The sequence below is a fragment of the Homo sapiens genome, chromosome X, assembly GCF_000001405.40.
Source record: "Homo sapiens chromosome X, GRCh38.p14 Primary Assembly".
NCBI classification, from domain to species: Eukaryota; Metazoa; Chordata; class Mammalia; order Primates; family Hominidae; genus Homo; species Homo sapiens.
The window spans coordinates 129,110,901-129,138,793 of NC_000023.11; the positions used below are offsets into that span (position 1 = coordinate 129,110,901).

The 27,893-nt window shown below is 39.6% G+C and overlaps 1 long non-coding RNA gene across 11 annotated transcripts in view, besides 2 other annotated features; it reads right to left on the reverse strand.

Moving 5' to 3' along the window:
- LOC124905213 (uncharacterized) overlaps window positions 1-27,893 on the reverse strand; it is a 275,363-nt gene that overhangs the window by 199,831 nt on the left and 47,639 nt on the right. For 8 of the 11 annotated variants that reach the window (XR_007068316.1, XR_007068322.1, XR_007068319.1 and 5 more), the window contains exons 1-3: window positions 11,218-16,363; window positions 10,251-10,338; window positions 5,710-5,823 (exon numbers count right to left, since the gene is read on the reverse strand). This is a non-coding gene — a long non-coding RNA (uncharacterized LOC124905213). Of the gene's footprint in view, window positions 1-5,700; window positions 5,824-10,250; window positions 10,339-11,217; window positions 16,364-17,363; window positions 23,903-27,893 lie in introns of those variants that run through there. The other 3 variants (XR_007068325.1, XR_007068324.1, XR_007068326.1) reach the window with 3 other exon arrangements.
- Window positions 4,192-4,486: an enhancer, noted in NCBI's record as "tiled region #5660; K562 Activating DNase matched - State 13:Ctcf". NCBI's record gives its function as "activates a minimal TATA promoter and a strong SV40 promoter by Sharpr-MPRA in K562 cells {active_cell/tissue: K562}" and the evidence as "EXISTENCE:reporter gene assay evidence [ECO:0000049][PMID:27701403]".
- Window positions 25,908-26,409: an enhancer, noted in NCBI's record as "NANOG hESC enhancer chrX:128270785-128271286 (GRCh37/hg19 assembly coordinates)". NCBI's record gives its function as "activates a minimal SCP1, AML or CMV promoter by ChIP-STARR-seq in primed H9 embryonic stem cells {active_cell/tissue: H9 hESC(primed)}" and the evidence as "EXISTENCE:reporter gene assay evidence [ECO:0000049][PMID:30033119]".

Below are 27,893 nucleotides of genomic sequence, written 5' to 3' on the forward strand. Positions count from 1 at the left end.
ATTATTTATGATGATGGGGAGTGGGGCGGGGGTATTGGTGGGAAACAGGGCTCTGTATGTAGCAAAAAGAAAGCAATTAGCATTAGAGGAAGTATACAGAAAGCCTGCACACACACATACTCCTCTGCCAGTCAAGCTGTGAAGACTCCGAATCTCTCTGAGGAGCAGAATATGATATTGTATTAGAATAATTGACTTTCCCGTTCAACCTAGATAAGAAACGAATGGCATATTGTACTGGGCACACATCTCTAATAGAGATAATGCCGCCTCCTTTGATAGGTGTATAGCATTGTGTCTGTCCAGCAGGCAATCTGAGGCATTTTTTTTTCTTGTCTTCCTAAGTCTGAGCTTCATTCTCAAACTGACGGTAGGGAATTTCAGTAATGACTTGCTGCCCTGCGTTAGCCCTTTCCTGCTCTGAAAACGCTCCCTCTTTGCGCTTTTTATTCAGAGACAGTAGTCTGAATTTACATTTGCTGGATTTCATTGTTTCTTCACTCATTGTTGCCCTTCAGAATGTAGCATTCTCCAAACTTGGGATTTTGCTCACTGCATCGTCTTCCAGCTCATTAATGTAAATAATAAAGAGACTGGTTTCCAATGCTGTTCCCTTTCAGAGCCATATTAATAATTCATTTCCAGCTTGACAAAGTCCTTTCGGCAGCCGCTTTGTTTGAGGCTTTGCTCCTCACCGTGGCGATAGGTCAATTGTCTTATGGTGAAATTGAACCTGAGGGCCTGAGAAGGGCATTTGTATTCCCTGCACGTGACCATAGGGGATTAATATTGTGGGGGGGAAAAGCACCAAGTCCACTTCTAAGGCTCCCTCTGGAGACTTAGCCTCTCGTTCCCGTGTTCTTTCCAAATCTGCTCTTTTTAGCATTAATTATGAAGACAACGAGCTCAGCGCCAAAGTGTAGAAGCTGGATCCTCAGTTATGCACAGGGAATGAAAAGTCTGTCAGTCAAGAGAACAGTATTTGTTCTTTTTCTAGAAGAGAACTTAATGACCAAGTTAGGTCAGCTCAGATTGCCTAGGGCATGCAGTGGTTTATCCAGCATCCTGCACATGGTAGGTGCTTAGATTTCTGCTAACTGACTAGCTTAGTTATAGTATCTAGCCATGAAAGTTGTTCCAGGGACAAAGACCAGTGAGGTGGTACCCACCGAAATCATCATGCCCCTCTCCTTTTCCACCAGATATTCCTCTGGAACACCCAGTGAGACATACAGTCTAATACAGGGGTGTCCAAACATTTGGCTTCCCTGGGCCACATTGGAAGAAGAAGCATGGTCTTGGGCCGCACATAAAATACACTAACACTAACCATAGCTGATGAGCTAAAAAAAAAAAAAAAAAATCACAATAAAATCTCATAATGTTTTAAGAAAGTTTACGAATTTGTGTTGGACCACAGGTTGGATAAGCTTGGTCTAATACAAGAATTGAAGATTTGAAGAGCCACAGATAGGGATTGTAAAAGAGCCAGCTATACACTGAAAGCCATGGGCTATGTGACATCAGGTGAAAACATTCTGCAGAGACAACAGTGGCCCTTTTTCAATGGTGTAAGGAAGAAGCTAGATGGGAAAAAGCTAACAGGAGCTCTGAGTGATCAGAGAGCACTGTCCAGTACCAAATTATCCATGGAAAAGTCAGGCAAGAGGAAGTAATCCTATCAGAGCAGCCTCCATGGAGCTGTCCTGGGACAGCAAGACGCATTAACTCCGACTACAGAACCAGAAAATGGTTTTCATATGGTTACCCATGGATTCCCAATCAGCCCCAACCATTCTTTGTTCCCTGAGTAGATGGGAGTCTACCTAGTGTCATGTTCAGCCTATACCACCTCCGAGCATACTAAATACAGTTTTTTAGAAAAGAGATGAAGTGAGGCATGGTGGCTCATGCCTGTAATCCCAGCACTTTGGGAGGCCGAGGCGGGAGGATCACTTGAACCCAGGAGTTCAAGACCAGCCTGGGGAACATAGGGAGACCCTGTCTCTACAAAAATAAAAAAAAACATTAGTTGAGCATGATGGCGTGTCCCTGTGGTACCAGCTACTTGAGTGGCTGAGGTGGGAGGATCGCTTGGGCCTGGGAGGTTGAGGCTGCAGTGGTCTGTGGTCATGCTACTGCACTCCAGCCTGGGCAACAGAGTGAGACCCTGTCTCCAATTCATACAAACTAGAAGATAGAGATAAAGCACTTTTCCTTGAGTGATGCATGTTTAGGGAGACTAAGTGCTGGGGGGATCTAGCCCTTTAACAATACCCTCATCCTGATACCCTCTTCCCCGCAGTAGTCTCATCAGGACCTCTTATGCCTCTTCCCTTCAAATCATTCACAGTCTTGCTGCTCTTTACTAGGTGGAAGGGGTAATAGTATGGTTAGGTTAATAAATTTCTGCTAGAATGGGTTACACTTCCCCCAAATCAATGTAACATACTATGCTATAAAAGGCAGTGTAGAATAATGGTTAAAAGTACAGACTCTGGAGCCAGTCTGCCTGGGTTTGTAATATTGGCTCTGCCATTCACTAGCTGTGTGTTCTTGGGCCTCTCTCTCTCTCTCTCTGTTTCCTCATCTGTAAAATGAGGATACTAAACATAGTATCTTCCTCATAGGGTTGTTACAAGGAATAAGTGTGTTAATATCTATAAAGCCTTTAGAATAGTGCCTAGTGTATAGTAAGTGCTACATAATTGCTTATTAAATAAATTTAGTTTATTATAATTGCTTTGAAAGGTTTTCAAAGGGTGATCTTTAATGATGGGATTTCAGGCCCTGCAAGACAATGATATTTTGGAGCACGCCTCACATCACATTACATGGATAACTGTCTATACTAATGAGGCCCTTAGACCCTTAGAAATCTATTCATCCAGAATGGATTGACTGCCTGTGACTCTCCACCGTCAATGATTCTTTTTTGCTGCCCAGTGAACATATCCAGGACACAAGCTAAAAAGCAAAATCGATGGTTTCTATGCCTCTGCATCTCCAGACCTTTGCCTCCCATCTACCTTTGCAAAGTGCTTACAGGCTAAACACAAATCAGATTCAGCTCCATTAACAGCTCTGCAGATAACAACCTCCAGCCTCCCACTCACCTCCCTGTTCCCTTCTGAACCAACTCATGCTCTGACCCAACTAGGTAAGAATGTGTTGGCCGGTCACTGGCATGGGTCAATCTCTCACAGTCTATAGGGCTGTGGAGGAAAAGAGGACATAAATGACCTAGAGGTCAGTCCTTGTTTGTGTAAAGTGGCATGTCCAACAGGAAACAGAACCCATTCCTATATGAAGAGATTTTGCTTCATATATAATAAGGCTCCCAGTGGGTAGCCTGACACCAAATGAATAGCTGTAAGAAAACTATCCTTTCATTGTGACCTGAGCAAAGACCAAAGAATGGTGAAATTGATGGGATTTTAATTCTTCTGGTTTTGTACTAAGTTGAACAATCTTATAAGATCAGGAACCTGGTGGAATACACTAAGAACCTGGGCTTTGGGAGTATTCGGCTCCCTCTCTTTCACAAAGACAGATGACACAGAATTAAATACAACACTGGATTATTCACATTTTGAAGACCCTCACCTGGCAAGCATTTTGAGTGTAGAAGCAAGGCTAACCTGAAACAAACTGAGACATCCTTTTCATCTTTACTTTGTTTCTATCCCCTTGTCTCTCCTGTTCCCAGTACCCTCACATTGACCCCTTTCTTCCTTTCTTTTTTTTTTTTTAAGACAGAGTCTCGCTCTGTCATCCAGGCTGGAGTGCAGTGGTATGATCATGGCTCACTGCGGCCTCCACCTCCCAGGCTCAAGCAATCCTCCCACCTTAGCTTCTATAGTAGCTGGGACTACAGGCAGGCGCCACCATGCCCTACTGATTTTTGTATTTTCAGTAGAGATGCAGTTTCACCATGTCACCCAGGTTGCTCCCAAACTCCTGGGCTCAAGTGATCCACCAGCCTCGGCCTCCGAAAATGCTGGGATTACAGGCATGAGCCACTGTGCCCGGCCTGACCCCTGACTTTCTAAGAGTCCTATCTCTGCAAATTTTTCACCTCAAATCTGACCTTTCCATTCAATGAACCATGTTTGGCTATGTATTCTCTACACTCCTCTACTTTGTTCCCCTGGCCTAGCTCATATCCTATTATTTTGTCATCTGTTTTCCAAGATATTAGCAATTTAATTAGCCAAACTGTGTCAGGGCATTAAAGACTGAAAACAAGTTAGCATGTTATGCTTATTTGGTATGGCAGCAACTGTTAGCTGTCCTCCAAAATCTATTCTCCCATATTTTTCCTGGCAAAATGACTAGACTACATTCCCCAGTCTCCTTTGCAATTAGATGTGAACATGTGATTGAATCTTGACCAATGGCATGTGAGACTAGGTACAGGGCGCCACCTTCAGGTCAAAGCTTTTAAGAAAAAGGTCTTACTCTCCAGTCTGGCTCTTTTCTTCCACCAGCAGTGTCTAGATGCCAATGAGGCCCTAGGGAATTGAGGGGCCACAAAATGGGGAAAACCTGAATCTCAAAATGACTGTGGGGAGGAGAACCACCCTGCTGACTTGAGAACCCACACGGGATTGCTATGTGAGCAAGAAATAAACTATTATATTGAGCTATTACATATTTGGGTTTACTCATTACCACAGCTTAGCCTAGAACACCCTGAGACACCTGGAATATATGCATTCTTACAGACATTACCTATAGACAATATCCTATGTCAAAGTACTGAATCTCTAATAGCAAGAAATTTCAGGTATCATTGATGGAGATTTTGGAGATAGGGCTTTTTGCAAAAACCCTCACATCATCTACAAAGATAAATCATGGATGGATTCAGCCACAAAGCATGAAGGGAGAAGAAGTTGGACCAAGCAAACACCCATTAACTAGAATAGGTTTTGAGGGAGTCTGACCACAATTTGCAGAGTGGGATCTCAGCCAGGACAGTTGGGAATATCTAGAGCAGTGTTTATAGCCTCAAACAATAGTCAGAGGGAGGAGAGCCAACTCAGTAGCAAGAACTTCTAGAAAGGTTTCAACCCAGAAGTGAAGCACAGTGTGCATCATCATCATGATATGTCCATATCTTACCAGCTGATAAGGTATCAAAGAAATGGGCTGGGGCAGACTCTAGGAAGAGAAATTTGGCAGGAGTTAGGCAAGGTTCTGCATGTGGACTTAGCCCTAGAGGGAAACAAGGCCAAATTACCAGACAAACTGTACAGTGGGATATCAAAGCAAAAGTAACCTAGAAAGGGGGCAAGGAGCACTGCAATTCAGGGGTGTAACGAACACACAAAGCTCACTCCCAGCTCAGTGTTTCAAGCCCTGTTAAATTAGTCTGAGGTTGTTGATATATTTTCTGCCATTTTAAACATTGATTTAGGAAAGGGGTAGGGGGTGATCTGGGCCTGCAAACAGGGCTCATCGATTCAGTTGAAAGGCACTAGGGAAAACAAAAGCAAGGAAGATGTGGGAGGAACTGACAATTTAAAGATCCATTTTCAGCTAATGTCAGTTCTGGCCAACAAATCTTCATATTAGAAAGGCATGGCTAATGTCAAATCATAGGCGAACAATTAAAAATGCATAACATCATCTTCATTAAGTCGGTACCATTAAAGACCAGAACTATTAGCACATTTAAGCATGCATGACCAGTACCTCTCTTACCAGTTCGTGAGCAAATCCTCTTTGTCCTTGCAAGATTCCACATTAGCCAGATTCAAAGAATTATCCAGCTAATTTTGGCCATGGCCAGAGGTGGGACTGCATCTGTAGAAATTGCTAAAAAAAAAAAATAGGCTTTCAGTCTCATTTTGCAATAGTGATCATTTCTGACATTGGATTGTTGTACATTTATTATCTGTCTCCCTCTGAGCCCTTTCACAGCAGCTAAAGTACTCCCTCTGATGGTCTGTAGATTTCACTCACAACTAACAACAGGGCATTGTTCTGTTGAATTTTTCCTCAGGATGCTTCTAACAGCCCCCCAAAGCTGGAACCCTGACAGCACTTAGTTCAAGCTTTGATTGAGCTCTTTTGGTCCTTTTTTTTTTTTTTTTTGCAAAGGAAAAAAAAAAGAAACTGGTATAATCTGCTTTAGAATTTGGAATACACACACGCGTACAAATATACTATGTACATATAAAATATGCATAATTCAGCAACTTTGCTCTCCCTAATTCTGGAAGACTTTGCTTACAGAACACTTTGCAGAATTCAAATCAATAAAAAATGCTGTCTTGCCAACCCAAAACGGGCTTATATCAGTGGTGCTTACAGAGGAAGGGGAATTGCAATATCCAATCACTGCAACAAGGAAGCTGGCTGCACAGTGTGATATGGCCAGCAAAAGGCCAGCCGCACCATACAAAGTCCTACAATTCTAACCATTCATGTCAAAGAGGTTGTAAGAGCCATGGGAAGAACCTATAGTCATTTCCCCTTGGGTAGCCATGTTCGTAAAGCCCTCGTGACCCTCTCCAACATGCTTCCCCGCCGATAGAGCCTTACTTGTCATCCCTATATTCCATGCATTCTTTCTACTTTACCCCAGAGGCTGTTGTTACTGTCTGATCCCTAAGATGAACCTCCTAGCTTCATCCTGCTGTGTTCCATAACTATAATTTACCCTACCACAGAAAATCAGTACCCCTTCCCTTTGCAACATCAAAGCAGTTTTCAGACATCAGTTTACAAAATAGTCCTGGGCTGTGATAAAATTTGGCTTTTTTTAAAAACAAAATTAGAAAAAATAGGGTCAATGTAATGAGAGTTTGTCAAAAAGGTAAATGTATTCAGTTAAAAAGCTGTCTATTTTTCTGAGATGATGTCCTTCCTCCTTTTATTTGGGGGCTGGGAGGCATTAAAGCGCCCTTCTTTTTATAAAACTATGGTGATAGTAGATGGTGGTTGAGATTCGGCTTGGTTTTTTATTTTTTTTACTTTGCAAAAAGAGAAAGAAAGTATCTGGGAGAGGTAAGGGATAAAGACATTAACGAGCTCCTTTAAACACATCAGGAATGAGATTAGAAGGGGTCTGTTTCAGTGTGAGGAGGAAACAGAGAGAGGGACAAAAAGGTCAGATGCAGTGCCAACAGCGCTGTAAGGTGAGGAACAAGATGGTAGTAGCAGAAGAGAATCTGGAGAATGCTGAAGATAAGCTCTTTTTAAATTCTATACTGAAGTCCAGCCCCAACTGCAGCCCTCCCATTTGCCTAATTACAATGACTCTCAAAAATGCACATCGGGATACATTGCATTGATATCATTTTCAAATAATACTCAAGTTTTATCCTGATAGCAATTAAATTCCCAATTACCTGGAAGGCAAACACAGTCATGCAAATCATAGATGCAGACTGATTCATATTAGAACTCCAATGTTTATCACTTCAGAACTAGGTAATTTGCATCTCCTTTCCTTTTTAGAGGCTGCAGTGAAATTTACTTCAACTGGACTTTGTGAGTTACAGGACTAAACTCCATTAATTTTCTGAATATAAAATGTTATTTTAGCTTATCTGAAAATTGATCTTCTCCCAAGACTATCCCCTTAATCTTTTTCTCCCTCTACTTCTTCATAAATGTATTATCTATTTCAGTCCCTATATTATTTATCATCTATTATTATTTATTAATTCACTAACACTATCATATAATTCAGCAATGGAATTTTTGCCACAATGCTTTTCAATACATTTGCATACTGAATAAAACCATATTGATTCTTAAGGATTTTTATGTGCTAGAAATGCTTGCCACAGACAAATTTGCAAACAAATTTTTATTTGGTTTCTGGAGACAGTATTTCGACATGATTTCAACTGACGCCAACAAATCAAACCAAGTTCTGCAACAAATGCCTTCTTAATAGGTTTTGCACTATTTGTTTTAGTTGACACAATTTATTATAATTTAACAGTGTTTCCTTCCTAGGAAAGTCCAAAATCAATAAAAAATGGTGACATATGTTTGTATTTATTTGGAAATACAAATGCATCCAAAGGGCTCTGTCAGCGTACGATTAATAGAGTACAAGATGTTGTGGTTTGGGGCATCTGATTGTCTGTCTTGTAATATGAATTTTGAAACAGCTTGGGATTCCCGCTCCTTGGCTTTCAGGTTAGGATAGAATTTCACATTAATGATAAATCACCCTGGATATGTGGTTTTCTATTTCAATTTGCTGCAACTTAGCTTCAACAGTTCACAAGGGGGGACATGGGACCACACGTGGGATGAGAAGAACTACAAGCTGGTAATAAAATGTTAAGACAAAAAAAGCGAAGACATTTGAAATGTTATTACTGAGAGAGATGCCAAAACTGGCATTTCTGTCTTTTCTTCCAAATATTATGGTGCACAGGCTGGCAATGGAGAGCCCAAAGCTCAAGGCTGGGCACAGAGGTTCAACATCGAGTTCTCTTCACGACAACCCTCTGGCCTTTTTAGATAAATTTTTCTCCATATTGACAGTTGGGAAATATGATTAAGAATTCCAAGGAGAAAAAGTACTCTGCTCTGGGCCTGACTGCCAACCCTTTCACAAACAGATTTTCAGGATCTGCCTGTCTCTTGACCTAGGTCCAGTCCCTTGGTTCTGTTCTGCGGTCCAGGTACAAGTGAAATTCTATCACAGAATTAAAATATCTCATGGTTAGAAGGATCTGAAAATTCATCTACTTCAGTGGCTCCCAAAGGCTAGTTTCAGGGACTTGTGCAAAATCCTAATGAAATCTTGCAGGTCTGTAAAACAATAAGGGCAATGTGGTAGAAAGCTAAATGTATTAAAGGACTTTGCCTCACTCTGAGATTATGTCCTTTCTACTTTTGGGGTATGAAATGATGGTGTTTTAAATGATAGTTTGTTTTTTCTTCTCTAGTGTTCTCCTTAGAGGGTGAATCTTCATTTCTGCCTCATATCTACATGGAAAGAGAGCTCCACTAGGAAAATAGAATTGTTATATGTAGCCACATAGGACAAATTGATCCCTCCTCTAAAAACTAACCCTCCCTAAGTATTTTTTACTCCTAATTAAACATCCTGGGTTCCTTATGTCATGACTTGGAGTCCCTTCATCTCACTAGTAATCCTCTTCTGAAAAGACTCATTTTTCAGACTGCAGTCTGAAACCATCCTTTTAAGAGACAGTTTTCAAAAAGGAATCTAATAGTGCAAGTGAAATGTGGTCAGTAACTATTAGAGCAGGCCCATTCCTTATTAGTTTGGGATTCTACACTTCTATAAATATCTTCCCCTATTAGCGATTTTGTCAGTAACTGAATCATCTGGAAGCATATGGCCCAAGCCACAGGAGTTTCCCAACTGTTATCTTGAAATCAAGTGACCATCAAGGTCAAATGTCATAAAAAGGTCAGAGAAGTCACACCCTCATATATGTTTGATACCACCTGGTCCTTAGCTCCTGATTCGGGTCTGCCACCAGTTCCTACATTTTTTTTCCATGGTTATTGAAATTTGATGCTGACCTGATCTGATAATTGGTCTTGCCATGCCCTTTGGTTTCCCTGGAAAGGGATCTTCTGGAATGCCAGGGGAGCTTGACAGTACCCTCAGGCCAAACTGTCACAAACATTTTCCCATTCAGTTTGCTTGTTTGGTGTGTGCCTTTGGCTACATCTATAAAATGCCAAAACATTCAGCTTACTCTGTCAATAAATCAGGCAATTCAGTGGATAAATTTTAGTCAAATCAGTTGTTTATCAGCATGTAGAAAAACATAGTAATCCAAATGAAAAATATAAGAAGGTTACAATGATGTTAACAAAAATTATGTATGACAGATCCTTAATGAGTGGAGAGTAGTTAAGGTTATTAGGAATCAAAGGATACAAAATTTTATTTAGACAGGAAGAATAATTTCAAGAGATTTATTGTACAACATGGTGACTGTAGTTAATAGCAATGTATTGTATACCTGAAAATTACTAAGAAAGTAGATTCTAAGTGTTCTCACCACAAAAAAATGATAAGTCTATGCGGTAATGCATATGTTAATTAGCTTGATCTAGCCATTGCACAATGTATACATATTTTAATTATGCTGTATACCACATATGTATATAATTTTAATTTGTCAATTTAAAAATAATAAGAACAATTTTAAAACATGGGCAAAAAAGATTATTAGGGATTGTTCCTAAGCTTTTAAGGTTGCTGTCATGAAAAGCAAATATATCCATCTTACCACAAAATTTATCTTACTGCCACAGTTGAAGGTAGAATCTTAGGCTATAGGAAACACTGGCATGATCCAATCTGGCAGGTCTTAAATTCTTATAAAAACATGAGAAAAGGACAAAGTAATTCAGAGAAAGGAAATAAAAATTCAGAAGTCATAAGCTAGTTATATCATTGTGTGCCTGCTAGACACCTTGAAACAAAAGCCAGATTCATCCAGAAAGCATTTTCTGATTATTAATCCATAAATTCATATAATACTATAAGAAAACAGGACAGCGGTAAGTTATTATTTTAAATATAACAACCCAGAAGTTATAGGCCTAGTCTAAGGATAACAAACTTGGCATTTAGAAACTGAGACACATGAAAGAAATTATCATTCCTGCCTTTTAATCAATTTATAAAGGCTGTACGCCCTCAGTTGCCTCAAAAACAAATCAGTAGCTATTTAGGGTTAAGTATTGGGCTTTTTTCTAACTATAAATGAAACCATAAGCCACATGAAAGCATTTTGACAATGTCATTTAGAAGGAGGTGATAGAAATCTGAGCTTTAACTAAAATGTTCCCTTGTTTTAAATAAATTTACCTTACTCCTTGTTTTAAGTAAATTCACTTTACCTGAGTTCTAATTTAGATATTGATAAAGAAGTTTCATTTACCTTACTTTTTAAAGTAGCTAAGAATATAATGTAAGGAATTTTCATGCTGGAGTAACTTGTATTAAACCATAGCACTTAGTGGTGAGATACAGCATCACACCTATACTTTCGAGATACTATTTAGATCCATAAGAAGAGTGAAGACAAACAGGTTTAGAATAACAGGTTTAGAATAAATTATTTTCCTGAAAAAGGGTAAGAGGAACAGTAGACCTATGGCAGAAGAAAGAACCCAAAGAAAACACCTTTCCCCCACCCCCAAATAATCATGACATCAGTGCCATCTAAGAAATGTCTTCTTGATACCTACCTTTCTCCGTATTTTTAACATTCCACTCAGTGGGGTACAAGGAGGCAGGAACTCATGGGAACACATCTTCAGCATTCTAATGTAAGGCAAAAGCAAAATAGCATTTATCTTATAGCCAACATTGTTGGAATATATCTATTTGGTCAAGCAGCGGATACTGAGAGAGTGTTAACATTAAAGACATTTGCTGTCCCAAAGCCTTTTGTGTACTGAAAATGAGTTCCATTCCTAATGGGTTGCTAAGTGTAAAGCCAGAAAAAAAAAAGTGGCTGACAGAATTTGGAGCAGAAGAAATAGAAATGACTACAATAGAAAGATGCTTAATAAAACTGTTGAAAAAAATATTTTGAGAATAATTATTTTACTGTCAATTTGCTTATAATTTTCATGGTTGAATGGGCTATGATAATTGTACCTTTGCTTCTGTTCCAAAGTAATGCCAATTATTATGTTTTGCAGCTATTCATCATGTTTACCATTCACGTGTATCAGTCAAATTGGCCCTTTTGATTTCAGTATAAGTTATGTGGAAATCAAAGTTTGGGATTACCAAAAGGTTTTTTCCTTTCCCACCTGGAAACCACTTACCTACAAGCTTGATTGAATCCTAGTGAGGTCACTTGTTTCTCAATAAGACCCTACGAAAGACTACTTTGGCCTGAGGCCCTTCCTGCTCTGCCCTGGCTCCTGGCACTTTTTCCTTCAACTGCCTTTTGTTCCCTGCACTTTTTGAGCTTTTACCTCTCCCGGTTGTTCAGGAACCTAACCTCCCCTCCAAACCGAATGTTTCAACAACCCTTTCCTCTTTAGTGTTCTCTTCCCTCAGGGTCTTGCTCTCTGATTTTCAAGATGAAGACAAAATATTCTATAATAGAACTACCTAGTAAGGGGAATTTAGCATAACAGTTAAGAGTTCCAGCTCCAGAGTTAGATTGAAATGTGTTAGAATTTCTCTTGTAGTGTCCTTGTAAGGTATGGGCTTAGAAAAAAAAGGAAAAACAAATAAAAAGAAAAAAGGAAAATTTAAAAATAAACTTTAAAAAAGTGTCTTGTAGTAGCTGAGGGATTTATAGACAAGCTACTTGAGCACTCAGCCTCGGTTTTCACATCTCTAAATGACATGTTTATTGACAGGAATAACTACAGAAAGGTAAGAAAGTGCCTGATTCTCTGATTTTGGCTTGAGTATCTGAGTTGTGGGTGGGGAGATAATGAGTTTTGAAGATTCATGGTTTGTGGTGCCTGTGCGTCATCAAGAGCGCTGCCCCTGTGTCAGTTGAAAATGCTGATTTGGAGCTCAAGAGAGAGGTCAGAGCTGGAGATACAGGCTAAAAGGTCATCAGCCTATGCTGATTATATAGAAGTAGATGGGATTGTCTGGGGTAAAGGTGCCAAATGAGAAGCACAGATGGCCATGGTCAGGGCTCTGAAGAACAGCAACAATTAAGTGGTGATTAGAGGAAGAGGACCCAGCACAGGAAACTGAGAAATGGCCATACAGAAGAAGAACCAGTAGGGATGTCATGTTGGTAACCAAAGGAGTAGATAATTTTGAAAATGAGGTAGTCAACAGTGTGAAATGCCATAGAAGTGTCAGCTGAGATGACAAAAAAATATTAGTTTATTGAATTTGACAGGTAGGAGTCAATGGCATTTGCCACTCTTCTAGTTGGGTGGTGGGGGAGAAGCATAACTCTTAGACGCACATTTTGAGGGACTATAAATTTCTTCTAACACATATGGAAAGCGGTTTCTCAGTAGACTCCAAGAATATGTTGCCATTAGAAGTGATCAACAGGTGCTAAGCAGACGGCCCTGGAGATGAGAGCCCAACAGTCTGAATTGGCTACGTCCACAGAAAACATTTAAGAAGGGAGCTTTGTTTAAAAAGATTAAGCAATAGCTAATGACTCTGGGAATGTTGCCTCTTACTATGTAAAAGGAGAAGCTGGTTTGTGTACAATGTGGTTAATAATGAATTAAAACTTTAAGTCTCTTGCTGAACACGCTGATTATAATATAGTACAGGATTAAATAATCGTGTTTGTTTTAACCTCAATTTTAGCCCACCCAAAATAGTGAAGTCCATTATGTAAACTTCAGACTGCTAATTTAGACTAGAACAAGTAGAAAGTACCTTTTCCTTAATTCAATGGAATCAATTAAATATATAGGGCTGCAGGCAACATTGCTGAATCTCATAGCCTCGAGCTCTTTTCCACAGGGTTTCCTGTGTGAACTAATACATGAAGCTAGGTTAAGCTTGTTGAAATGAAGAAACGGTCTTGTGGGGAGTAATTGAAAGAATTGGAGATATTTAAACTGGAGATGAGCTGACTCCAAGGAACATGACACATCTTCAAATACGTGACATAAAAAAAATTTGAAGGTTCTTTGTGACCCAAAACCATTCAAAGACCCTTAAGTACAATCTTAATAAATATAAATTTGCAGTCAGTTAAGAAAAGTTCTCATTAGTAATAGCTGTTCAAAGATACATAGGCCACCCAAAGAATTAGTAAGTTTCCCACCACAGGAAGTATCCAAGCCAAAGTTAAATGGCCATTTGTCTCAGATGCAATAAAAATGATATAACTGGATTAGTTAGGATTAGATTCACTTGTATATAATAGAAAGAAAGCAAAAGATCAGAAAACTCAACAACGATGGCTAAATAATATAGAAGTTTATTTTTCTTTCATGTTAAAAGTGATTTGGAAGTGGGCAGTCCGAAGCTACAGGGTAACTCTCTAGTGTCATCACGGACCTGGCGTCCTGTCTTTCTGTTGTATCATCCTATCCCATGTCTTCTACCCGCAAGGATACTTCATGGGCCCATGGAGTTCCAACAACATGTCTTTACTATAGGCCTCAAAAAGGAGGAAAGGAAGAAAACCAAAAGAAGCCCCTCCTGAATGTGTCCACTCCCTTTCAGAAACCTCCCTGGAAGTCCCACATGACACCTTTGCTTACATATTATTGCCTAAAAGTTAGTCTCATGGCCTTGGCTAGCTGCAAGGAAGGTCAGAAAAACAGAATTATCTTTGATTCTGGGTAGAAATGTGTTCATCTAAAAATAGCCATTCTGTGCCTGAGGAGAAAGAGAAGAAGAGATGTTGGAGTAGGCAATAGCCATCTGTGGCACAACAGCCATCTGACGAGTTGGAGCTTAACAAAGTTTAAGATTCTTTCCAACCCTTAGATTGCGTGAGCTCATAACAGGATTATGCATCAAGAGAACTGCTTTCAACATACTCTTGATCTGGGAGGCAAGACTGTCCTTATATGTATCCCCACCATCTGTGTAACTGGTTCCCGGCATTAAATATCCTCTGTTTTAAGCACTTACAGTGGTTTTCTATTTTTCTGGTTGGCCCCAGATTAATTCAGTGCCTGAAACTATTAATCTTATTGTTAAAATCTGCTCTCTTTAGAGAGTCTCTGAGGGAATAAGATATAAAATAAGCAGGTTTTAGTGAAAATAATTGGATAAGGAGAGATACAGAGACTGGAGGCAATTTCTTAGTAGGGGAGGAAAGCCACCAGAGCTTTCAAGGCAGCCAGGAGAACAACTATTTGTTCAAATACCAAATATTTACTGAGCAGGCACTACATGCCAGGCACTGTTAGATGCTAGAAATAGAATGGTGAACAAGACAGACATGGTTTCTGGCCTCGCGGATCTCATGGATCATAGAAAAATGAGAGATTTAAGAAGTATAAGACAATTAAGAAATTAGAGTTGACACTGAGGACGTTAGGCCATAAGCAAACTTCAAAAAACTGATCCTTTGGCCTTTGCTTTGATTCATAAAACAAATTAGGAGCATGGGGGCTATTCCGAAATGTCTGAGGAACACTGACCTTGAAACTGTTTTCCTCCCTCTTCATGCCTTCCTTTGTGATTCCTTAAAGGCGGTGTTCTTCCATGTTCACAATTTTCCTTTCCTGCTTTCCATAATTCTTCCCTCGCCTTGTATTGGGTTATGTAGCTCTGTGTCAACCCATTGTAAATATTGCTGCATTTGCAAGTATAATAACAAATTCCATGCAACTTTGCCTTTCCATATTGTCTGACAAGAGGCCATTATTGTTTTAAATTTGTACTTACATACTGTAATATTTGCATTTTGCATTTAATCACTGTCACATTTTAGTGACGGGAAGTGGAGCTGGGGACAACAATTGATATTATGTATCTCGACCTGAAATAGTACCCGCAGATGGGATGTTGCCTGGACCCATATAGCCTTCAGTGATTTATAACTCAATGATCATAATGTGTCTGTTGACCTTCCAGACAGTTCAGTAATCATTGTTTTGTACCTAACTTGCTTGAAATCTAAAACTACTTCATCCAAGCAAAAGGAAGCAAGCACTGTATTTAAAGGAAGTCTCCATTTTAAATGGCTTTGACAACCTCCTCCCAGTAGCCTTTTCAAAGTTTCCCGACTCCTCCCTTGCTTGTTTCTTGTTTATCTTCCTCAGTCATAATGCACAGTTTGGACTTGACTATTAGTATTGCTTATTATATTCTGCCCTGTATCATGAGTTCCTCATCTTTCTGCAGGTGAATTGTAACCAATTTAAAGACAGGACCAGGTCTTTTAATTCATGTTTGGTTAATGACACCATATTCCGCCCCCCCCTCCTTTTTTTTTTTTGCCTCTGTTTTCCTTTTGGTAGGCCTTAGATTTTATCCAACCCCCTACTCCTCCCCACACACAACACTCTAGCTTTCCTACTCCTAGGGTCTGCCAGCAACTAACCTTGTGACCTTGGTCAAATTGCTTAACCTCTCAGAAACTGCTTTTCTATCCATAGAATGGAGTTGACGCCTACCTACCTCTTGGTGCTAAGGCTGGAATGAGGAAAGGTAACCTTTTAAATAACAGTTAGAAGAGAACCTAGCACATAGAAGGAATTCAGTTAGTCTACTTCTCTTCTCCCTGACCCACAGTCTACCAAAAAACTCGATCTATTCTGAGACCCATGCCCTCAGAGTCCTATCCTCTGTGAATGTGACCACCCTAGTAAGTTAGTGCATTACCCCTGCTACATGGTATATGTGTAGTTTATTTATATTTTTATTTTTAATTTTTTTGAGATGGTATGTTGCCCAGGCTGATCTCAAATTCCTGGGCTCAAGGGACCCTCCTGCCTTGGCCTCCTGAAGTGCTGGGGTTACAGGCATGAGCCACCACACCCAGCAGTATGTGTACTTTAAATGGAGTTCCATCTAGTAGAATGTAAGTTTCAACTGAGGCCAGGCATGGTGGCACATGCCTATAATTCCAACACTTTGGGAGGCCAAGGCAGGAGGATCACTTGAAGCCCGGGGTTCAAGACTAGCCTAGGCAAAATAGTGAGACCCTATCTCTGCAAAAAATTTAAAAATTAGCCAAGTGTGGTGGCACATGCATGTAGTCCCAGTTACTTGGGAGGCTGAGGCAGGAGGATCGCTTGAACTCAGGAGGTCGAAGCTACAGTGAGTTATGATCACGCCACTGCACTGCAGCCTGGGCAACAGAAAAAGACCCTGTCTCAAAAAAAAAAAAAGTTTCAACTGAACTGACACCTGAGCACACTACGTAGATCCCTTCCTGGTATCTTCTGTCATGACACCCATTGCATTCATATTTATCATAGCACATAGCACAATTTAAAGTGAATCACTTCTGTGTCTCTTTACATGTTTATTGTGTCTCACCCAATAGGCCGTACACTCAAAGGCAAAAGCCACATCTGCTTTAATTATCAGTGAATTTCCAGAACGCAACAGAGTGCTTGGCACACAGCAGACAATATTTTTTGATAGATTGGTGGGTAGCTGGAAGGATAAACAGATGTAGTAAGTAGATACAGTTAGAATAAATGAAACATGGTGGAAATTTCAGGCTCAGTAGCCAGGTGGTGGAGTAATACTGGGCGGCGGACAGGTTATTTGCCACCTCAAATTGGGTGGAGATACACTTCCTTGAGGAGTAAGCATTAGGAATAGGTTAACTAAATGGAGCAAATGGGTGTATAGAGATGGTAGGCAAGATGCTGAGAATTTGCCAAGACATTGTGTCTAAAGGCACAGGAACTTTCAAAATATAATGTTTATTATCAAATGCATTTTATGCAAAAGCGCCAGAACAGACCTGCCAAATATTTCATCTTGTTTTTTCCTTTGTCTTCTCTGTGCAGAATCTAGCATTAAAGCCCAGTTACTCTGGCCTCCATATTCTAGCAAAAGTTCTTAGCTTCTGAAGTGAAAAATACACCGCCACCAACCTGTCACAGCTGAGGAATCAGAAAACAAGTTAGGTTTTTGAGCTGTCAGGTTGAAAAGGATTTGCAAGCCCCTTCCCACCTACTCTCTGCTATGAAGATGGATTTCCAGAGGTTTGAGAGAGATTTGTACTATGGCTTTGAGGTTTACAAAATGCCAACATCCAAGGAGTTTGAATTATTCCTCTCCTGTATTTCATTTGTAATGTACCCTTGCCAGCATAACGAGTACTAGAAGGGCATTTGAACAGTAATAAGGCCCTTAACACTTGTGAGCAGCTATTTCCCTTGCAATGCAGTTGTTGTGCTGAAGGAAAATAACCAGTAGCAAAATGGGTTAAGCCCGTTCTTCCAAAATCTAATGCCACTTGGTTTGTAGTTAGGAACCAGTGCCCTGAGTGATTCATTCCTGAAAGATATGAAATTTAGGATTTTCAGTTAAATATTATGAATCTGCTCTTTCTCTTCCCGATTTCCCTACTCCCTCCTCACTGTGAGGGGGGAATAATTCACTCAAGAACTCGCAAATTGGAGAACCCAGTGGAGCCAGTTTTTATTTCATCTCCATGTATCGTCTGTGAGACCTCTGGCAAGTCACTTAGCCTCTCTGAAACTCAGTTTTCTCAAACATAAAATGAGAACAATACCAATACCTACTTATTAGGAATTTTTTAAAGGTTTTAAAAGAACATCTGTGAAAAGTATATAGCACGTTCTGGCATAATCTAAGTACTTCACAAATGTTAGCTAAGTTACTGCTAATTTAACCAAGTACTTCTAAGTAGAGTTACTTAAGAGACTGCTTTTGAATGGTTGTTCCGAGACTATTTAACATCCTGCCTTATTAGAGAATGATTTCTAATTGGTATACTAATATTTACTTATAAATGAGTATAACTAAAGTGCTTGAAATGTTGTCCTTTTGTTAACATTATTCTTCATTTGCTTTCTTTATAAATAGAATAAAAGAAAACTTCATTCAGCCAACAGTCTTAGTATCACCACAAATACCAGTTAACAATATTGTACTAAATTTTGATTTTTCAAAGTACTTTTGGGCGTTTAAACAACCAAAATGTTCTTTTCATGGTTTCTTGCTCAAATGCAAACAAGAATTTTCTCGAAAGGGGTCTACGGACTGCCAGTGGAAACTTGACACTCAGCCAAGTCTTAATTCAGAGTCAATAAGTAATACCCCTATGCCCAGGTAGATGTGTAAATTTTCTCCACATGATAAATAAGCAGACTGTGATTTCTATCAAATCAATCTTGGTTTGAGTCAGTCCTTCTCTAATCAATAAATCTAGATGTGCACTGAAATATGAAGTCAATATATGCAGTGTTGTATTCACTTTAAACTCCTTCATCAAAAGTACCTAGCAATTTTTCTATTATTGCCATAAATTCAAAATACCAGGTTTTTTCTTTTTCGCTTAACTACCACTCTAAAGGGCAATAAGTTTCTGGGTCCTGAAAAAGTTCTTGCTTGGCTCTGGTTAGAAATCCACATAGATTATCTGACCCAATCAATGCAGTAGCTACAATTACATTGGAACTGCACTATAAAGCCGAATTGGGTATGAGGCAATATCAGCGGAAATTGTGGTGTTTGAAAGTTATTGCTGGGATATTTGCAGTTTTAAACTAGAAATTCTAAGAAGTTGGAGGCTTCTGGGTAATGTAGGAATTATAGAGAAGGGATCTGCCATTTTCCAGAAAAGGTCATGGGCCTTCCACTGCTTCCCTTAATAATACTCCTTTTCATTGTATGTATGTATGTACAGAGCCAGGCTCATCAATGCCTGCAAATCTTGACAATTTGATGTTTGTGCAACTTCCTCAGAATTTTTAAACTGATGGAAGATCCCTGCCTGCTCATTCCTTCTCTGCGCTTCAAACAATCAAATTCAGCCCTCTTCACTTCCTTCTACACTTGTTTCTATTTAGTAGCTGCTCCTGACACCCTTTAGTAGGGGCTGTGGGATATTGTGGAGATCAATTCTTGCCATCAGCCAATACAACCACCACAAAGCTATATGTGACCAGGATCTGGGTCTATTCTAAACTTACTCAACTCAGAAGGGATTGTCATTCATTCTAAGTTAAATCTTACTCTGTTGTTAATACGTGTATTTTGAACTGTTAAGACTCTTAGCTCAGGGGTTCTTATACTGGGGTCCATGAAGAGATTTTAGGGGGTCTGTGAATTTGGATGGGAAAAATTACATCTTTATTTTACTGACTTTTAACTATAACTTAGTGTTTCCTTCAACTATGAATGTATAAATCATAGTTAATATTAGCAGCACCTGTGACTTTGTCACCAACAAAAATCATAAAATTTTTTATATCACATTACAGGTGTTGTATTAATAGATATCTCAAAATATCATTTAGGATCACTGCCACTTCAAAATCATCATAGTTATTAAACCAATCAGTAGACCTTATTACTTGGAAAACTGCCTGCTGCCTGCTTTTGTAGCTCAAGTTTTATCGGAAGATAGTCATGCTAATTCACGTATATATTTTATCTTTGGCTGCTTTCATGCTACAATGGCAGAGTTGAGTAGTTCCAAGAGACTATATTGCCCACAAAGCTAAAAACATTTATTATCTAACCCTTTAGAGAAAAAGGTTGCTGACTTCTGATTTTAACATACTAATATAGAGGCACATATATTATTATGTTACAACCTTTAAAAATTATTCTAACTATATTTCAAAATAATTGGTCTCCTTTTAATTCTATGGATTTCATTTTATTTATTTAAAAACATTATTCTGAACAGACTTCCATAAGCCTCACCAGACTAACAAAAAGGTCCATGGACTTAAAAAATGCGAGGACCTCTCGACTAGCTTGAGAATCAATCTCAAATTTTATTAGTGAGCATATAGACTTAGTTTGTGGACACCTCTTTGCCCCCGAACTAAAGGCAAATAGACTTAACTACTTACCTGGATTTTCCTTTGCTCTTCATTTTACTTGGATGCCTTGTTACCCTAATCTTGTTTTATTATGTGTTATTTTGTCAAATAATTCATTTACTCAACAATTATTAACTGAATGTATACTATGCACGAGGCACTGGAGATATGGCAGTAAACAAAACAGATCAATCCCTGCCCACAGAGAGCTTGCTTACATTCTAGCTAGGGGAGATATACACTAAAAGAAGTAAGTAAAACCATAATATTTAAGATGATAAGGGTATAGATGAACATAAAGCAGAAAAGGTTAATGCACTTTGAAATGGGAAACGGGAAAGGCTTCATAGAGAAGCTGCTTTTGTGCAAAGACTTGAAGGAGGTGGGGGAGTGAGCAGTCATGGGAACTGGGGATGGACATACTAGGCAGAAGGAGCAGCTAGTGCCAAGACTCTGAGGGAAGAGCATGCCTGGCATCCTCCAGCAAGCAGGCCAATGTGATTGGAATAGAAATAAGCCAGGGATAGTGAGTAGTAGAAGATCAAGGTATAATGAAGCCAGGAACTCTCAACCCTTTCTGGTTCTCAGAATCACCTGAGGAACTATGAAAAACTGCAGACACCTGGGCCACACTACATATTATCACTCCTGGAGATATGGCTTCATTTTATTTGGGAGTGAGGACCAGACATTTTTTAAAAAGTTCTCCAGGTGATTCTAATGTATAGTAATGATTAAAAACTACTGGGGTAGGGCCATAGGCCATTGTATAGACATTAGCTGTTGCTTCAAATGAGATGAGGAGCCATTGCAGAATTTTGATAAGAAAGGTGGCATGCTCTGACTTATGCTTTAACAAGATCACTCAGGCTGCTGTGGGTTAGAAGGTTAAGGGTGAACAGGGAGACCCATTAAGAGGCTTTTGCAATAATCCAAATATGCCACAATGATTGCAGTAAAGTTGGTAAAAAGTGGTTAGGGTCCAAATATATTTTGAAGGTGAAATCATTAAGATTGAATGTAGACTGAGGTGAGGGAATGAGAAAAAAGGAAGAGTCAAAGGTGATGCCAAAGTTTTTGGCCTAAGCACTTGGAAGATTGCATGTCCATTAATTGAAATGAGCCAGACAATGAAAAGATCAGATTGTGGGGAAAATATCAGCAGTTTGGTTTCGGACATATTAAATTTCAGATTCCTATTAGACATCCAAATGGAATGACAAGTAGTCAGTTGGATATACAAATCTGGAGTTTGGAAGAGAGATCTGGGCTGCAGATATAAATCTGGGGATTCAACAGCATGTAGGTGGTATTTAACGTCACAAGACAGAATGATATCACTGAGGGAGTGATTATGAATAGAAGTGAGAAGCTGTCTAGGACTCTGACATTAAGAAGTTGGAAATATGAAGAACCCGCAAAAGGAAACTGGAGCAGCTAGGGAAATAGGAAAAAGAAAAACAGGGATAATGTCCTGGAAGACAAAGGAAGGATCTGCTATAGGAAATAGTGCTAAAAGGTCAGTGAGAGCTGAGAATTGACCTTGGCATTTAGCTATGAGGAGGTCACTGGTGACCTTGACAAGAGCAGTTTCAGCAAAGTGTTAGGAGTGTAAGTCTGACTGGAGTGGATTCAAGAAACAATGGGAAGAGAGACAATAAGTAGAGATAATTATTTTAATGAGTTTTTGCTGTAAAGGAAGACAGGAAAATTGACTTTTTAAAATAATACAAATGATTACAGCACATTTGAAGGCTGATGGGAATGATTGCGTGAAGAGAGAAAAATTGTTGACATGAGAGAGAGGGAAGAATTACCAGAGCAAGTCAATATATTTAAGGAAGAGTCAGGCTGCCTTGGTTCAAAACCTGGCTCTACCCATGTTAAGCTCTGAGACTTTGGGAAAATTACCTTCTCTGTAATTCTCTGTGTCTCAATTTCCGCATCTAAAAATAGAAATATAATAGTACCTGCCACAGGTTGTTCTGACTATTGAGTTAGATATTATCTAAAATATTTATTAGCACATAGTAGGGGCTCAAAAAATGTTAGCTAGTAGTAGTTATAATTACATTCCTCTCTTAAAACACTGCTTAAGATTTATTTAATTAATTAATTTATTTATTTTAAGATGGAGTTTCACTCTTGTTGCCCAGGCTGGAGTGCAATGGTGCGATCTTGGCTCACTGCAACCTCTGCCTCATGGATTCAAGTGATTCTCCTGCCTCAGCCTCCCAAGTAGCTGGGATTATAGGCATGCACCACCAAGCCTGGCTAATTTTGTATTTTTGGTAGAGACGGGGTTTCTCCATGTTGGTCAGGCTGGTCTCGAACTCCTGACCTCAGGTAATCTACCCGCCTTGTCCTCCCAAAGTCCTGGGATTACAGGCGTGAGCCACGGCACCCGGCCTAAGATTTATTTTTCTGTAGACCTTCCTGACGAAGTAATCCCCACCCCATCCCAACCCCAAGTTCAGTAACTCTAATCACTCAACCTATCTCTTGGCACTTAATGGATATATGGCCATACAGTCATGCTGATATTTGCTTCTGTTTTCTCTTCTCATATGTCATTTCTGTACCTACATTTCCACAAAGCCCTTCTTTCCCCAAGGGAGAAAGTACTGACTGTAGGAGTTAAGAGCACGGGCTTTCAAGTCAACTGGTCTTGACTTGGATTCCAGCTCTATTACTTGCTGACTGTAGTAAAGTCTGTCTGTAAGTCTGTCTTTACTATCTGTAAAGTAAGAATAGTAATATTACCTACCTCACAGAATCATTGGAAGAATTAAATTAGTTAATACACAAAAAGCACTTACAACAGTATTTGGCACATAAATTAATGTACAACATATTTTTGTGATTACTATTATTCCTAGAAACCAGCAACTACATCTTCTATTTGACACCATTCCCTACCCAACATCCTACCATGAACACAACTTGGTCCAAATCCACTCTTTCCTCAATCAGGGCTTTGTATTCAGGAACATTTTTGATATAGTATTTACATCTTGACTAATGGCCCTACCTGCCGGCTGGGGACATCTGTGCAAAATGTAATAAAAGCCCTCTTTTTCTCCAAGTGACTTGAAAGAATTTTACCAATGGGCCATTCATTCCCATCTCAGTAGTGCAACTATATCCAAAAAATTTTTTCAATTGAAACAAAAACAAGAATGGCTCTATTTAGATACCCAGAATTTTAAACTTAATGTTTACACCAATTAAATTTGTTAAAACAATATTTCCTTTATATTTTTCTCCCTTTCTTTTTTGTGGAAGGTAAGAGGGACTCTACATAGCTAACTTCCATTCACCGTTTAAATCTCAACTTAGACTTTACTTACTCCAGGGAGTCCTTATTTCCTGTTAAGCACCCCTTGTGTTTGTGCTCACCATGGCACCAATCACAATATTTCCTCTGTACCCATGGATTCAATCAACCACAAATTGAAAATGTAGTTAGGTCTATGATAGTTGCATCTGTACTGCACATGTACAGACTTTTTTTTCTGGTCATTATTCCCTAAACGATGAGTATAATGACTATTTACATAGCATTTACATTGCTTCATTTCAGTGAAGTGGTAGGGGTGTAAGTGTGACTGGAGTGGATTCAAGAAACAATAAGAGAAGAGACAATAGCAACAGTAAGTAGAGACAATTCTTTTAACAAGTTTTTGCTGTAACAGGAGACAAGAAAATTGACTTTTTAAAATAATACAAATGATTACAGTACATTTGAAGCCTGATGGAAATGAGCCTTCAAATTAAGTTGCATTAGGTATAAGTAATCTAGAGATGACTTACACTGCATTTGGTATAAGTAATCTAAAAATGACTTAAAGTATACTGGAGGATGTACATAGGTTATATGCAAATGCTGCATCATTTTGTATCAGGAGCTTGAGCATCCTTGGATTTTGGTATCCACGAGGGTTCTGGAGTCAATACCCCATAGATACCAAGAGACAACTGTGCTAGAGTTGCTTAGTTACTGGTCAGTCTTCCTCACTCCATAAGCATAAGTACTATGTTAATCTCATTCCCTAATGTCTACAACACTGAACACATAATATATACACAATAAATATTTGTTTATTTGTTATTATAGTGTTTTCCCGAACAGCCATTTTGGTAGGACTTTCCCCTTCTCAACCAGAAACTTTAATGTTGTGTAGGTATAATCATAGTTCAAAATAAAATGCAATGTCATCAGGGGAAACCTTATGTATAATCAGGTTAGAAAGCTATCTACACAGTGGTTATATACAATTTTTATGTGTCATCCATGCATTCATATAGACAAAGGGAAATTTAAAAAATAAAAGAAAGCTATCTACACAGTGAGATTTGAAGGAAAATTGGAAAGTCCCTATACAAAAATATCTGCTCTACCAGACCATCTACTTCAAGACTATAGAGTACTACTGGTTCACAGATTATAGGGTGATAGGAAAAAGAAGGCAACATTCATCAAATGCCTCCTATGTACCAGGCATGTTATGTATGTTATCTAGTTTAATCCTCACAATGACTCTATGGAGTGCATATGATTACCCACGACTTAAAGATGAGAAAATAAGCTCATAGAGGTTGAATAAATTGCCCAGGAATACACAGAGAATAAATAAAGAGCCAGAGATTAAGCAGAGGTCTGCCTGACTCCACGTGTGTGTGCTTTCTGTTATTCCACATTGACATCCAGGATACAGATCCAAGACAATTAAGTAAGGATGGAAGCAAAATATTAAAGACAGTCTGAGACTGTGTTTGTGGTGGCTACAAGTCTGTAATCAAGGTGTCAGCAGGGCTGCACTTCCTCTGGAGGCTCCCAGGGGCCTTTGTCCTTGCCTTTTCCAGCTTCTGGTGGCTGCAGGTGTCCCTTGATTTGTAGCTGCATTACTCAGATCTCTGCCTCTATGACCACATTGCCTCCTCTTCTCTGTGTCTTCTCCTCTCCCATCTCAAAACTCTACCTGCTTTTCTTTTATAAAGACACTTTTCATTGGATATAGAGTCCAGCCCGATCATCTGAGATAATCTTCTCATCTCAATATGTACAATTACATCTGCAAAGAACTTTTTTTCCAAGCAATGTAACATTCATAAGGCCTGGGGATTAGGATGTGGACATATCTTTTGAGGGGCCACAATTCAACCCATATGGTTTCTTCAAAGTGGAGAACATTTCCCAGCTATGGTAGAGGGAGATATGACTATGGAAGAATGTTCAGGTAAATGCAATGTTCCTGGCTTTGAAGATGGATGAAGAGGGCTATGAGCCAAGCAATGAAGGGTCCTCTAGAAGCTGAAAGAGGCAAATAAGTGGATTATCTTCTAAAGCCTCGAAAAAAAAATACAGCCCTACCTGCATCTTGATTTTAGCCCAGTGAAATTCATTCTGGAATTCTAACCTCCAGAACTGTAAGATAATAAATTTGTGTTGTTTTAAGCTGCTAAATTTGTGGAAATCTGTTACAGCAGTGGTAGACAACTTATACAGGCACTGAGGAAAGTTGAGCAGATGTTTGGGTCAGAACAAGTGTGGAAGCCAGAGTCAAGAGGGCAGGTCAAAGACTAAACGGATATAAATTCCAGAAGGCAGAGCAGGGCAGACGGCAGGAATTAGGAAAGCCACAGGAGGGGGAAGGTCAGGACAAAGAAAGTAGAAGAAATGTTATGCATTAGTAATATCAAGAAGCACGCTTGATAAGTTCTCTACCAGGCTAGAGAACTAATCTTAATATGGGGAGCCCAGGCCTTGTAGGGTGGAACATAGTTGGAGGCATGCTGCCCAGTTAGAATATGTGTGAGAAGGAAAGAGTGATATTATCTGGCAGGCATATATCTACATAAAGTTGCCTACAATTTTCACACACTTACTATTTTAAGTTAAGATAGTTAAGGTCCCCCTTAAAGTTCAAGTAGCGTACTAAGATCATCTATTTAACACAGAGAGAACTTGTTAGAAAAAATGTACTAATCATTCACCTAACAGGGTCTGAGGGAAAGACCCCCAGACTGAATAGACAAGAAACAATAAGACAATAAGAATAGACAAGAAAGACTATAAGAATAGACAAGAAACAACTAGGAAATGTTTACAGAATGGAGCATTGGCCAGGGACAAGTACTCAGCCTGGCACATGGTATAAAGCAACAAATGTTTGCTGAATGAAGGAATGAATGGATGAGTGAATGAAATCACTAAGGACTCTGGAAGTCTGTAGGACATGATGACTTAAAGAAAGGAGGCTGGGAGCGGTGGCTCACGCCTGTAATCCCAACACTTTGGGAGGCCGAGGCGGGCGGATCACGAAGTCAGCAGACGGAGACCATCCTGGCCAACATGGTGAAACCCCGTCTCTACTAAAAATGCAAAAAAAATTAGCTGGGCATGGTGGCGTGTGCCTGTAATCCCAGCTACTAGGGAGGCTGAGGCATGAGAATCGCTTGAACCCAGAAGGCGGAGGTTGCAGTGAGCTGATATCGAGCCACTGCACTCCGGCCTGGCGACAGAGTGAGGCTCTGTCTAAAAGAGAAAAAAAAAAAAAGAAAGAAAGATGGATGGAAAAAGTTGGCAGTGAGACTCCAAAGGCAAGCTCATCAGTGCCAATACTTACCCTAACTGGGCTGATGTGTCTTCTTTTTTTGAGATGGAGTCCCACTCTGTCACCCAGGCTGGAATGCAATGGCGAGATCTTGGTTCACTGAAACCTCCACCTCCTGCATTCAAGTGATCTCCCACCTCAGCCTTCTGAGTAGCTGGGATTACAGGCACGTGCCACCATGCCCGTATTTTTGTATTTTTAGTAGAGAGGGGGTTTCACCATGTTGGCGAAGCTGGTCTTGAACTCCTGACCTCAAGTGATCCACCTGCCTCAGCCTCCCAAAGTGCTGGGATTATAGGCGTGAGCCACCGTGCCCAGCCTGATGTGTCTTTTTAATAGGTAATTGTTATAGTTTCTATTTCCCTATCTCAAAAGTAATACATCTCAAGGGAAAAGAAAAAAAAAAGTCTCATGCCTGTTATCTCTCACCCCAAGATACTATTTTGAAATATTTACTTCTAGTCTTCTCTATGTCGTTGTCTATAATTGTCCATGTCTGTGTCTCAATCACTCTCTTTCTTAGTGTGTGTGTATGTGTATAAAATATAGTATCTTATTCTATTTACCATTTTGTAAATTGCTTTTATTTTTAGTTTTATTTATTTACTTATTTTTCAGAAAGAGTCTTGCTCTGTTGCCCAGGCTGGAGTGCAGTGGCATGATCACAGCTCACTGAAGCCTCAACCTCACGGGCTCCAGTGATCCTCCCACCTCAGCCTCCCAAGTAGCTGGGACTACAGTCATGCACCACCACAGCTGGCTAATTTTTTATTCTTTGTAGAGACAGGGCCTCGTTTTGTTGCCCAAGCTGCCCTGGAATGCCTGAGCTCAAGCAATTCTCCTACCTTGGCC